At 36.9% G+C, this 14,735-nt stretch overlaps 1 long non-coding RNA gene across 1 annotated transcript in view; it reads right to left on the bottom strand.

The window, feature by feature from the left end:
- Positions 1–5,072: 5,072 nt before the first annotated feature.
- LOC105369711 (uncharacterized) overlaps positions 5,073–14,735 on the bottom strand; it is an 81,818-nt gene continuing 72,155 nt past the window's right edge. Inside the window, exon 3 of the long non-coding RNA XR_931467.3 lies at positions 5,073–7,427. This is a non-coding gene — a long non-coding RNA (uncharacterized LOC105369711). The remainder of the gene's footprint in view (positions 7,428–14,735) is intronic.

The raw sequence follows: 14,735 nt of genomic DNA on the forward strand, positions 1-14,735 counted from the left end.
CATCCACGCTCCATTGACACAATCTGGCGTAACTCATGGAACTTGGATGCACCCTGGGGAGAAAGAGCCATGGGGGAAATTTTGAATTTACTAATGGCAAATCTTATAGCACTGGATATATCTGCAATTGATCATGATTACATTTCCTAACACCAGGCACATAGGGGATTCAAAGTACATATATTACTTTGTGGAAAAATATTAAAAGGTTTGCACATCTGAATCTGTGTCTTGTAATCCTGTGAACTCCATACCTCTACTGTTGGAAGTAAATTTACCTACCAGCTTGGAGAGATTAAGAGAAGTGATCTCTGGGTCATAATTCTAACTCTACTATCAGTTCCTTATGGTGTTTTGCCTCAATTTCTCTTTTTGTAAAAGCAAATTTGGCTTTTCTTCTTATATGCTAATGGTACCTGGGGGTAAGGACACCATGTGGTTTCAATTTTTCAGAGTGCTGATTCAGCCGTGTATATTTCACTGTCAGCCTTAAATATAGGAGGGAATTTTATGTGTAACTTTTCCTGTACTTGGCATTCGTTTCCAAGTTTTTGCTTACTTGGGGCTTATAATATGGAAATGTATTCCTGTGACCTTGGGAGAGATGTATATTCAAGGTAGAGGTTTATAAAAAAATAGTCTTTGATTTTATTTTTAAAAAGTAATATGATGCACTGCCACACCTTTGTAATATGATGTCCTCGACATGCTGAGTCCTCAGGATTGAGAGATATTAAAGTTGAGCCACTTGGGCACCTGTAATTAAAAGCTATTAATGTTTTAAGGTATCTCAGATGCTTCAATTGACTTGGTTAGGATTGGCCTCTAGCTTGGTGGGAGAAGGTTTCCTTGTACAGAACGTTCCCTGCCTCCATTCAAGGAGGGAGGCCAGCCAGAGGAACTGGCTGTTTATTTTTGAGCCCATGTAAAAGGAGCTCATGAGTAGACACCTCCTGCTGTAGGCCAAGCCTGGCAAAGAGGTCATCTTTGTTGCAAGTGGTTGAGGAATTGCCTCCCCTGCTGATGATTGGAGATATTTTTAGCAACAAGCTGAAACTTTTCATTCTTGAAATTGTTTTCATTTCCACTCAGAGGCAAACTCCATGAGCTGGGGAAGAAAAACAAAATAGGAGGCATATGTGCTAATAGGAGCCGTGTGTCCGTGTAAGAAGAAACTCGATGAAATTGCTTCCCCTGGTGCTGACAACTTAGTCCTGGCACCAGGATGGTTCTAATAGCTGTAGGCTAAAAGAATCATTTCCATAGTGCAGCTCATAATGATAATGTAAATTTCACTTAAGTACACATGATTACAGAAAATTGCACAGAATTGCAACAGACTTTGTGCCATACTGTTTATGGAGCAATATAGATTTACCAATTTTTTTCCCCCTAAATTCAATGAAAGACAAGCTATTTTGACTCTGGGAGAGGATAAAGGTCTACAGCATTGTGTTAATTTGTATTAAAATTTGAACTCAGGTTTTCCACACATTTTCTGAGTGCTAACGATGGGGTGAAAGGTGGGGGGAATTCTACCACATTGACCAGCCTGAAAAACTTCTAATGAAGTGTCATGGAGTCACCATGAGTCCTAGCTCTATATGTGTGTTTATGGCAGGTAAAAACACTTCAAAGGCACTCATGGTTGAGGAGTAATGTGAAGACACATGTCAGAGCATGTGAACAAAAGTTCTCTGAAAAGGAATTTGGAGGAAAGAGACTTTATTCCAATGAACAGTTTGCAAACAGTGAGATGCAACTTTCAGTGTAAGATGAGGGTACCTTCTAGAGAACAAAGAAAGGGTTCATGTTTTATGGCAGAAGTTCCTGTCCATATTCCAATCAGGTTTGCTTATGCAAATGAAGGATTGAAACTTGCTTAGTTCTGATTTATTGATGCAGCTGAGCTCTGATGGCTGAGGCAGATGAGCCCTGAAAATCCCTTTTCAAGGTTGCAGGTTTTCAAAGAACTGAGTGCATGCGTGACGTCTAGTTAGCAAAGGGTCTCTTGGCTGTATTTTAAATTCAGGCCCAGTTAGCCACTTGGGATACATCTTGAAGGATTAGTTCCTTCAGGCTCACATTTGTTCACAGGCATCTGTTTTGCCAGAACTCTTCTAGCACCATGTGTACATCTTTGAGTCACTTCCATGTTCCATCACTCACTATTGTGGTTTGTGTACATGTTGATTATTTCTCCTCTCTTGTATGTTTACAAAGAGTAAGCACTGCGTTTTTGTAGTCGTTGTTGTTTTTTATTTGGCTTAAACTCAGTACCTATTTGTTGAATTAAATTAAACTGGAGTGGAATGATTCCTTCTATTAAAATACAGCAAAATCTATGGCAAGAAATAATATTAAAATCATGATTACCATCCTATTGGATTCTTACCATGGCAGAGGAATCCATTACATGTGGCAAACAGATTTCAAGTAATATCATGTGCTTTTGGAATGTTTTGAGAGAGCTAGCAGAGAACTATCATTTGAAAAGAAAGGAAAGGAAAGTAACTTCATCAAAAGGAATTATTCCTCATTCACTCATTTAATCCTCAAAGAATCTCTCTGAGAGATATTTTTATTCTCAATTTACAGATAAGTAAATTTAAATTTAGAAAGGCTAAACACATTTCTTCGGCTCATGTAGCTAGGATTTGACCCCATCTTTGTCTACATTCTAATTCTAAGCTTCTTCTACCACTATGCCATGTTCCCTAAAAAAGAAACATCTTATCTGTGCTCTTGTGGCATAACTAAGTGTCCATTTCAATTTAATTTTCCTAAAATATCACTAACCAAGCCATCTTCAGAAAGAGGAACTGTAAGATACTGACTTAATAGTATTTCAGTCAAGAATACAAGAAGAATTCAATGGCTTCCCTCTACCTATTGATGATTGACTCATTTTATAGGTGATTACGGGGAGTCAGAGTGGCACATAGCTCACAGACAGCTGCCTCTTGCCTTTTTCCATGGGTGCTCTGAGATTCTACTCCTGCTTCTGGGTTATAGTGAGTAAGAGCATTCCTCAGTAGTGATGGTGGAGGCAGAGGTGCTGAAACTGGCCTCCTCTCCTTCTCTGTGGTTTTGATGGAATGAAATAGTCAGGGAGAAGTGGAAGACAAAGAAGGAGAGTCAAGTAGATCATACACAGGATCCTGCTGTAATAGAGAAAGATGATTATCCTTGGCCATGAGTTGTCTTTTGGGGGAAAAAAAACAAGAAAAAGAAATGCAAAGGGGATATTTCTCTACCCATCACACATCCTATCCCTCACTAAAATATACAGTAGTTAGCATATTCATTTCCCAGGCACAAAAACAAAAGGCCCTGTATAATTATTTCATAATTAGCTGGTAATTACTATGTCATAAGTGAATATCCATAAATGTTTTTAGACCGTCCAGCCTACTTGGTAATTAGACCTGGAATTCTTAAGAGAACCTGGGATCTTTGAAAATGCTTTCCAGCAGTATTTGTTATTGGTGCCATATGAAACAGAGTGTGACTGAAATGCATATGACTTTTGCAGCATTTTGGTTTTTAGGCAGCATTCCCAGGTATGCATGAGGGTTGCCAACAACTATGTCTGTGAGTTGTTTTAACTGAAATCACTAATACTACATACTGATTTAAAGTAAGTACAAATTTTGGATATGAAAACTAGATCCATATATTTCCTCTTCACAATCACAGTAAATAACTTACATCCTCCTGCATGAGTGAAGAACCAGGGGAGGTGACCAAGTATAGGTACGAGAGAAGAGGGTGATGCCGGTTTGTCAATGACGAGGAACTATATTTTTAATGAGGTCACTTCCTCTGAGGTTTTCTATCAATTCAGATTGAAGGCTTCAAGTGTGGGGCAATCATTTTGGAAAACTTGAATACAGTAGTAAAATCAATTTGTATTCAAATACTGCCCAGAAGCATTTCGAGTATAAAGGGCATCTCTTGTTCATCTCTGCATGTATTCTCTGCTACCCATTATCCAGGGCTTATGACCCTGTGGTTACTGACTGTACTAACTTTTTGTGTATTGTTCAGTTGAGAACAATAAATAGTTTTGGCATAAATGAAGGAAAGAAAGAAATGAGAAAATCCAAAGAAACCAATATTTACAATAGGAAGACTGATATTTTGAAAGTCAATGGCTTAAACTTTTCTAATTTACAAATAAGGGTTGAAAACTAAATTTACTTGCAAAATTTGCAACGTGACAAAAAATGAGGAGATAATCTCTAAATCCACTTTTTAAAAGTAAAGAATTAAGGAGGAGACTGATGAACTCTTTTCTGGAATGCTTCATTACTTTTATTTCAAGGTAGGTTTCTTTTATCTTGTATCTTAGGTGTTTCAAATCATTTGTTTTACCAGATTTTGAGTTCAAAGTGATATCAGCATCTGAGACACTGTAATTACATTCTTGTGGTAACTTTACCACTTTTCAAGATATTTATTATTTTCTACCAATAAGTTATAGGCTAATAATTCGCAATTTGTTGATTCCCTGGGAAGGCAAACCTGTCTCCTCATTTCTCTACAGCAGAAATTCTCAAGCCTTTTGGTTTCAGGATGTGCTTAAAAAATGTTTGAGGACCTCAAAGAGCTTTTGTTTAAGTGGGTTATATAATATTTACCATATTGGAAACTAAAACTAAGAAAGTTTAAAATGTTCATTTCTTAATGCTTTAAAATAGAAATAAGAAATCCATTACAGATTAACATAAATCACATATTTTAGAATTTTAAAAAAAAGGTTATGTTTCAAAATGAAAGCTGTAGTGAGAAGATTAGCATTGTTTCATAGCATGGCACAACTTTTAAAGTTCTGGCTTGATAGAAGACAGATGGATTCTCATATTTGCTTCTGCATTCAATCTGTTGTGATATGTTGTTTTGGTTGAATTATATGAAATTGAAAGAAGAGGAGTATTTTTTAAGCTTTTCAGGTAATTATGGATATGATTTGATACTATCCCCAAACTCATCAAGTGTTAGTTTCTTAAAGGTTAGTTGCAATGTGGAATCTGGAACCATGTCAATGAATTTTTCATGCTCTATTATATCAAAATCTATTGATTAAGCTTCTATTTTTATACATTAATGATGTATAACTTGAGTTTCTTTTTTTGTTGTTGTTGTTGTTTTGTTTTGTTTTTGAGAGATTGTCTACCAAATGCTGAAGTCTGAATAGTTTGTCTACAATGTGGTCTTTCAGGTAATTTTTTATTGTGTTCTGGAAAAAGTGTTGCAAGTTCAGTTCACAAAACAAATTAAAAACATCATGGAACTTGTATTTGGTATAACCTTCCTACTTCAATATGTAGCCTTCAGAAATACATCCCATTTCATCAAGTATCAGAAAGTCTAAGGAGTTCAGATTTGAGATTGCATAAAATTAAAAATGTTTACTGCTTTATCAATGTCATTCTTCAGTGAAAGACATGCAACATTTTCGGTTGCAAATGTGTGAGGATGAGCAACATAACTCCCAGTACAGATGGGTGGCACTGCTTTAATTTGTGCTAAGGCACAAGCAATTTTACCCATCATTGCCTTTGCAATATCAGTGCAAATGTCAACTCAATGAAAAGGCAAATCACATCTTAGTATTAGCTTGAAAACAGTTTTTAACTCTGTAGGCCCTTGAAAAGGTCTTGGGAATCTCAGAGAATCTAGACTATACCTTAAGAGTAGCTGTTTGATAAAAACTAAATGTTAAAACAAGATTAAATTCTATTCACCAAATATGTTCTAAGCATGGATTCTGTAGAGAGAATGGTCCATCAAAGAGAAATACTATGATGACATAGTCTTTGTATTCAAGCAATATACCACTTGAGAAACGGCCCTGTTGAGCTGTGCTTTGATTTAAATCCACATTACCTTAAAAGCCTCATAACTACCTTAAAAGATGTTTCCTGTTTTAATGAATTTACACACAGTGAAAAACAATGAGGTACACAAATATCTAGTTGATGCGAGTTTTGAGATACGTACAGTTGTGTTGATGATAGAGCTCGCCATACGTAATACAGTGTGGATGTCTTGAAATAGAGGCCTGCACTACATGTCGGGGCCATCACAGGAAGAATTTGGATTGATGGAATCTGGATTGACTGAGCTGTCTGAAAATGGTTCTTCCCAACGGAGAGAAGGGCTGCCTCTGCAAATCAATCATTTGCTATCCCAGAATGGCTAAAGTTATCTCTCCTGACTCCCCCAATTGCACTCATTCCCTCCCCTTGCCTCCACCCCAAATTTTAGCTGTAATTCATTCTTTGTCTGAGCAATGAAAAGAGCAGTGTATTTCTTTCTTTCTCAGTAACCTGATCTTATGCATATATATGCATCAGACAAAATAAGTGAAACTGAGCTTCCAAAACTATGTTAAACTTCACTACAACCTTTCAACACAGTCCCCTTAGAAAACATTTCCTCCTCTGTGTTCTTCTAATACTACTAAATAGCTATGGGGCAATGGAACACAGTTATTAACACCAATAACAAAAAAAAGGTCATCCTTTGATTCTCTCCATTCCAATTTTTTTTTAAAGTAAGACATATTGATTTCACATGGCAGCAGATAAACTAAATATTAAAAGTCTCTTTATTTTAAGTTGCTGTGATTTATTTGGTTTCATATAATCCTCAGGTTTCTGTCTTTATATTAACTTACTGCATGTTTATATCTTTCTGATAGAGGTAAGTGATTCTTTAGAAACACTATGGATCAATTCTGACAACCTCTCTGCATACACACCACATAATTACATATACATATACATATAGTGTGTGTGTATATATATATACCCACATGCACTTAACATACTTACGTGTTTGAATGACAAAATGATTTGGGGCAGTCACAATATGAACTATTAGGTGTTGATAATTTTTTGTGGTTTTTGAGGATAGGTATTAGGCCTATTCTAACCAAGAATACTTAGTCATTTCTACTGATGAGTTGGTATCATGAACTAACTCATCAGTGTAACTGGGCCATGTTGTAGCCAGGTCCCCCAAAGAAGTTGATTGTTTAAGAGACCCGAATATCCTCCACTTCTAAGGGATTACCTCTGGTTAGTTTTGATATAAACATGGGTGGGAAATTCCCTTGGTTGTTTTTTCTCTACTTTATTCATTCTGAATAAAGAGACATCTAAGATCCTGTTACTCCACCAGTATTTTGTAACTTAAATAAAAAAAAATATATATATATATGTACTTTACAATAGAGGTAGACAGATGAAATATTTACCATAGTAAGATGAGCCAATCTTTTTGTTCTCTATTTATACGCTTATATTCTCCACCCAACTCTTTCTCAAGGGACTGCTCAAGATCATTCACAGAAAAACAAGGCTTTGATTGTTGAGTTTGGCTTATTCTGCTATTTAGAAGGTGTGACAATTTTATTCCTGAAATGAAAGAGACAGATTTTGTAAGCCAGAACACACAAGGGAAATCCACTTTCCTTGAAAAGTCTGGCATCTTGTTAACCTGGCACTTAAGGCAGTTCTACAAAAGGTCTACTTTCCATTTCCACCCAGAGTCAAAGAATTTTTAAAGCAAGTTCAGAGGCATGGCTGCACAGATTGAAACTGGAATCTTCAAGAAATGAAGAGTATGCATCCAAATTCTCCACTGCTCAGATTTTCTTAGGAACATCCTCTGCTTACCTGGTACTCCCTCTGTGTTTGAGGAAAACCCCAAAATATATTAGAAACCTTTATCTTTGTGTGATAGATAACTAGAAACAACTGGCTGATTCCTCTTGTCTACCAATACCAACATACATTTTTGCCCTAGAATATTATACCACCTTTTATTTTTCAACCTGGCACTGCTGTGGGTTTTCTCACACTTAATTTGGTATATTATCATCATATCTTCAAATAGAAGAGATAGATGTTAATAATTCACCTTACATTTTATAGAACTTCAAAGATTGTTGAAAGAGTCTCACATATTAAGTTATAAGAAATATCTCAGAACATCACTAGGCATTTTATCAGCAACTATCCTGAAAATGTTGGTGATATTTGACAAAACAACCTCTATAGCTATCCAATCCAATATCTTTGTAACTTGTCCTGAAAAACATAGCATTTCAAGCAATTTATTAATATATTATCCAAAATAATACATATAGGAATCCCTTATTCAAAGCCATAAACGATAAGGTATTAATACCTAAATGTACTTTAAACACGCATCACTTAAATATTTTGGGAGAATGACTATGGTCGAAATATCAGGAATGTAATAACAAAGTAAGCTCAGGAGGCATTTGTACTGAGGCTAATATTTGATGGATAACTGAGGCAATTTTATCAGTATCCTTTTGCAAGGGCATTAAAACTCAACTAAGATTCAAATTTTAGATCTTTTTTTCTTAATATAACATCATTCTGTGTAGGCATTTGATTGTGGTAGAGTCTAAGTGACACCAATTCAACTAAGTCAGGAAACAACAGATGCCGGAGAGAACGTGGAGAAATAGGAATGCTTTTACACTGTTGGTAGGAGTGTAAATTAGTTCAACCATTGTGGAAGACAGTGTGGCAATTCTTCAAGGATCTAGAACCAGAAATACCATTTGACCCAGCAACCCCATTACTGGGTATATACCCAAAGGGTTATAAATCATTCTACTATAAGGATACATGCATGCATATTTTTATTGCAGCACTATTCACAATAGCAAAGACTTGGAACCCACCCAAATGCCCATCAATGATAGACTGGATAAAGAAAATGTGGCACATATATACCATGGAATACTATGCAGCCATAAAAAGAATGAGTTCATGTCCTTTGCAGGGACATGGATGACACTGGAAACCATCATTCTCGGCAAACTAACACAGGAACAGAAAACCAAATACCATGTTTTATCACTCATAAGTGGGAGCTGATCAATGAAAACACATGCACACAGGGAGGGGAACATTACACACTGGGGCCTGTCAGGGGGTGTGTGGCTAGGGGAGGGATAGCATTAGGAGAAATACCTAATGTGGATGACAGGTTGATGGGTACAACAAACCACATGGCACATGTATACCTATGTAAGAAACCTGGACATTCCTCATGTGTATCCTAGAACTTAAAATATGCTTAAAAAAAAAAAGAAAAGTGAAATCACTAAAATCAGTGTCAAGCAAATGTTTTGATGGACATTCTTCAAGTGAATTGACTAAGTTGGCTTGTTTGGCCAACTCCTGTTTCATGTAGACACATTCTAAGAGAAAAATAGCCCTACTTATTTCCTTTGGCATTTATCAGGGAAATAGGTTCCTGTAGTCGAGTTGTTCTCCAGTAATAGAGCAGCTAATAAATCTAACCCGAAGACTCGTCTTAGGATACCAATTATTCCAGAGTGTTTGAATCTTGTTTTTATCCACTTGCAGTTTATAGCAAACTTGGTTTTTTTACCATTCATAAATCCCTACTGCTCTTCTGTTCTTGGCTGTATATGGATAAAATGTGGTGCTCACTGAAACTTTAGAGTCTCAAAACATTAACTACAATTTCAAGCATTTCAACATTCCACCATCCTAATGGTTTGAACAGTTGCTTTTTAAATCTCAGTCACCCTTCTTCACTGTTTAGGCAGAATTCTCACAGTCTTCCTAAGACTCATTAACCAATCAAATCAATGCAAAAGCAAACTTTTGGTTCTAAAAAGGAGTTGTAACACAGCAACTTTTCTTTATTTTCATGTTCCCAAAGAAGTGGGAAACTTATTGCATTTCAGCTGGACAAAGCTCATCTCATTAAAGTCATAGCTTATAAAATATATACAATTGACCTTACTGTTGACCAGAAGCCTAACATGAACAGTCAATTAATACTGTTTTGTATGTTGTATGTGTTATATATTGTATTCTTTTAATGAAGTAAGCTAGAGAAAAGAAAATGTTATTAAGAAAATCATACAGAAGGCCGGGCATGGTGGCTCACGCCTGTAATCCCAGCACTTTGGGATGCTGAAGCAGGTGGATCACCTGAAGTCAGGAGTTCGAGACCAGCCTGGCCGACATGGCAAAACCCTGTCTCTACTAAAAATACAAAAATTAGCTGGGCATAGTGGCACATGCCTGCAATTCCAGCTACTCAGGAGGCTAAGGCAGGAGAATCACTTGAACCTGGGAGGCAGAGGTTGCAGTGAGCCGAGATCATGCCCTTGCACTCCAGCCTGAACAACAGAGTGAGACTCTGTCTCAAAAAAAAAAAAGAAAAAAAGAAAATCATATGAAGACAAAGCATATTTACTATTTTATTGAGGGGAAGTGAATCATCATGAAGGTCATCTTCACATTGAGCAGGCTGAGGACGAAGAGGAAAAGGAGGGGGTGGTCTTGCTACCTCAGAGGTGGCAGAGGCAGAAGAAAACGTATGTATAGGTGGACCCACACACTAGTCAACAGTAGGGTATTAGTAGTTAAGTATTTAGGGAGCAAAAAATTACATGTAAATTTTTGACTGCCTGGGGGATCAGCACCCTTAACCCTCACATTATTCAAGGATCACACACACACACACACACACACACACACACACACACACAAATATATATATATATATTTTTAAAGATGAGTTCTGAGACATAAAAGTTGACTGGTAAGACTCTCTGCTTTCACTGCAGTCACTATCCTGTGAACAACTCTCTTATCACAATAATACCATACAACATCCTATTGATATAATGATTCTATATACCAGCAATTCCCTTTCTTCTTGCCTTAGAAAAGAATTCCATATGTGAGCCCACCAGTCATTTCAGTGGAAGTTCCAAGTGGTTTGGATAAAACAAGATCTTAGTTGAACCTTTGCCTTAAACTGAAATTGAACCTGGATCATGTTTGAGGTTCAAAAAGTTGAGTTAACTTTTTCCCCTTTATTTTAATTTTTGTGCATCTCTGCACTTCCTGGTTTTGGTTGGGAGTAGAAACCAAAATACCACAAGAAAAGCTATTCTTGTTGCATTTCCAGGCTTTCAAAGCCAAAAAGCACTAGAAATCTTATGAAGAAAACAGTTCCCACCTAATTTCTAGCCCCAAAAGGTTCAGATAAGTTTGAATAAACTTTGGATAATGTTGTATCTATTACTTGGAGAATACCTAAGACAGGCAGTGGTAAAATAAAAATGCTTTAAGATTATAGAAAGAGGGAAGGAAATAAGATGATAACAAATTGGACATTTCTTCAAATTAAACTGAGGACATTATCATCATCTAACCATGGTTTTTTCATCGCAAGGAAAAGCCAGCATATCATACATTTTGGAAGAAAGATTTAAACTTAGCTTTTAACTTCTTAAAGGTTGCCATTTACAAAATACTCCACATTTTGATCACTGTCTTAATATTATTTAAAATGAATCGCCAAAAGCCATTTTAAGATAACTCCACTTGTTACATGAGGAATCTGTGGAAATAAACTATTAAAGCTATACTGATGTTTCTTGAGCTTCATTCAATGCCGTGCAATAACTTTTCATTTATTCAACAAGTATTTGTTGAGTACTTAGTATGTGGGTAGAGTGCAAACTAAAGTTCTGGGGAACTAATAATGAGTATGTTAAATACTTTCCCTCAATAACTCATACTCTGGTGGGAGATAGTGTCAAGTGAATGAGCAGAATCTAACAGAGTTTGCTAAGGGCTGCGTTAGGGATAGGCAGGACAGATTTGGAGAACTTGTAAGGCAGTCCGTATGCTGGCCTGGTGCTCATGTAGATCTTCTGAAAGAGCTGAGGTCTAAAAGAGTAGGAGTGAGCAGGGTGAAAAACCCTTTCTCTGAACTCCAAACATTTCCCTTGTGTCTTACTTTTCCAGGGATAACTTGACAGAATCAAAACCTGGCAACACGAGAAGTCAAAAAGGAACAACGGGATGGTGAAGGCAAAATGGTGACTCAAAATTCCAGACAAGAGATTGCGGAGGGCAAAGGTCAAGTTGGGAAGATGGAGAAGCACAACATCAGGAGTATCTGACAACAGTTAAGAAGCAGGTACTTGGGAGCTGGGAAAAGCCTGAGCTGGGGAAGATGGTTTTGGGAAAAGAGGTCCAGCCTCTCTTTAGACTCTGCAGGAACAGATTTATTATTATTATTAAAGTTATTATTTAACACAGGTTGGTGTTATGGAAAACCATAGGCTTTGGAGTCAGACAGATACAATTTTAATTCCTGGCTCCATATCTCATGTATCTGTGGCTTTGAATAATGTGCTTTACTTAGCGTTTATGTGATCAGGATAATGATATCGCCACCTTAGGGTTCATATGAGAAACAAATGAGATTCATTATGTGACTGTGCCTACCATGATCTCGGGTATGTAGTGATGCTCAGTAAACAGTAGTAACCTTCCCTCTTACTTCAAGTACTGACCATTTGGCCTGTGGACAAAATGTCCCTCTGAGCAGCAAGGCACTCAGGTTACCAACCCTTTAGCTGTCTATCCTTAGAATTAGCATTTTCTCTCCTTCCTCACTGACACCTTTGCTGTTGGAGTTTCACAGCTGTTGTTACACCCCCAAACACCAATGGTGGTTAGCTCATTTTAGAAATGAAGAAACATGATCAGACTGGTTAAGCAATTTTCCCAAAGGGATAACTGATAAATTATGGCATTAGATGAAAACCTGAGGCTACGTGAATCCAAAGTTGGTGTTCTTTCCAGCCATCCCCTGTCTCTGTGTAACATGTAAGAGGTACATCTACTGGGAAACTGATTTTGTAGTTTGGAGTCTGGACAGCAAAACAAATTCCAGGAATTTTGCATTGGGAGATCCCATTTTGAGAGAGGTTAACATACATTTCCTTATTCTACCAATGTAGTAAAAACAGAATAAAGAAAATTTTTATAATCTTTACTAGCAACTTGGAGGGTTGAGAGCTAAGCTGCTCCCTACACTTTTGTCCAGTCAAGTGAGTACTTTGTTCTTAGAAGATAAATGCATATCTGTTTAAAGATATTCTATATAAGCTGGTTCAAGTATTAAAAATATGCAAGGCAAATAGTCCAACACTCAGTATTCTTGCCAAAAAAAAGAAGGAAAAAAAAAGGCTTTACCCTGAATACAGACAGCTCATATGTTGACCACCAGGGCAGATCTGAAATTTAAGTCTGTCTGAATTCATTGCTTGAATTTGCAGCTTTTGCCCTGAATTTCTCAGCTCATTTGTAGAGAAGGAGAAAGTTTATCATCAATAGCACCAGGATTTTACCATTTTCTTCTCACAGAGATGGGTACTTTGTACAAGGAAAAACATTTTAATTCTCTAGATTTCGTGGCTAAGAGATTGCCACAATAGAGAGAGATATTCATAAACAGATGAAATAACATTATCTTTTGTTTTATCTGTATATTAGGATTGCCTAGATTCTTAAAATGAACTCTCTCCTGTGAAAAGACTCATTCAGTTTTCCTAAGGAAAACCTTTAATTAAAGATACACTCATAGCTGTCTGTTTGCCAGAAACTGCAGTTTCAGGTTTCTCCAGGGGAGGATGACCACAAATGCCACTCATTAGCCTAAATTAAAGCACCCATCTATAGCTGGTATTTGAGGTTGAGCCATATACAAATAGAATTAGGGCCAGCCTTTAACAAGATGACTCAAAGAAGTGCCCTGAGTTCTGCACTGGGCAAGGACTGTCATCTACAGTGAACTTCCTTGGTTTTGTGGTATCCCAAGCAGAGTGTTTTGTGGAAAGAGGGGAGATGATGAAAGAGTCAAGGGAGGAAATTGCTTTTCTTATGTGGAAGTCTCAGATCCTCTGCATCCTTTTCTCATACCATTTACCTGTTTTGACCTGACTTAAAATAAAAATTTCCCTATTTTATACTAACATTTAGATAGAATAATAATGAAAGGTACAAACTATGGGCTGAATTGTGTCCCCCTCCCCAAATTCATAAGTCGACATCTTAACCCCAGCACCTAAGGATGTTACCTGATTTGAAGAGAGGGTCTTAATAGAGGTAACTGAGTAAAGTGAGGTCCTTAGGATGGGCCCTACTCCAATATGAGTGGTGTCCTTATACAAAGGGAGAATTTGAACACAGAAATATGCTCAGAGAGAAGATGATGTGAAGACAGTGAATAGGTGGCCCTCTGAAGCCAAGCAGAGAGGTATGGAACATTTTTTCTCACATCCCTCAGAAGAAACCAACCCTGCTGACACCTCAATCTTGGACTTCCAGCCTCCAGAACCATGAGATAATAACTTCCTATTGTTTAAGCCACCCTGATTGTGATGCTTTGTTATGATAAGCAGCCCTTAAAAATTAATATACAGTACTATTTGCTGTCTACTTACTGTGAGCCAAGTACGGTCCACTTGCTTTGTATTCATTATCTCATCTAATTCCTACAAAAAATCTATTTAGGTGGTTTGTTTCTAACCTAATTTATAGATGGGGAAACTGAAGCTCAGAAAATCTAAGTAATTTACTCAAGGTCACATATTGCAAGTGGCAGAACAAGGATACCATCCCAAAATGTTTCTGAAATCCTTGTGCTTCCTAATTCCAAAGGGCTGATACTAAACTATGTCAAAATAACCTTCATATATCACGTTGTTAGGGAATTTGTTCAGTTATGAGGACAGTTTAGCATAAACATAATTTCTTTGAAATGAAAACCTATGGTAGTTCCCCAAGTTTGCTTTGTGGTAGAGATTCAACAACACAAATGTGAAGATTTTAGAAGAA

Source organism: Homo sapiens, chromosome 12 (genome assembly GCF_000001405.40).
Source record: "Homo sapiens chromosome 12, GRCh38.p14 Primary Assembly".
Classification (NCBI taxonomy): domain Eukaryota; kingdom Metazoa; phylum Chordata; class Mammalia; order Primates; family Hominidae; genus Homo; species Homo sapiens.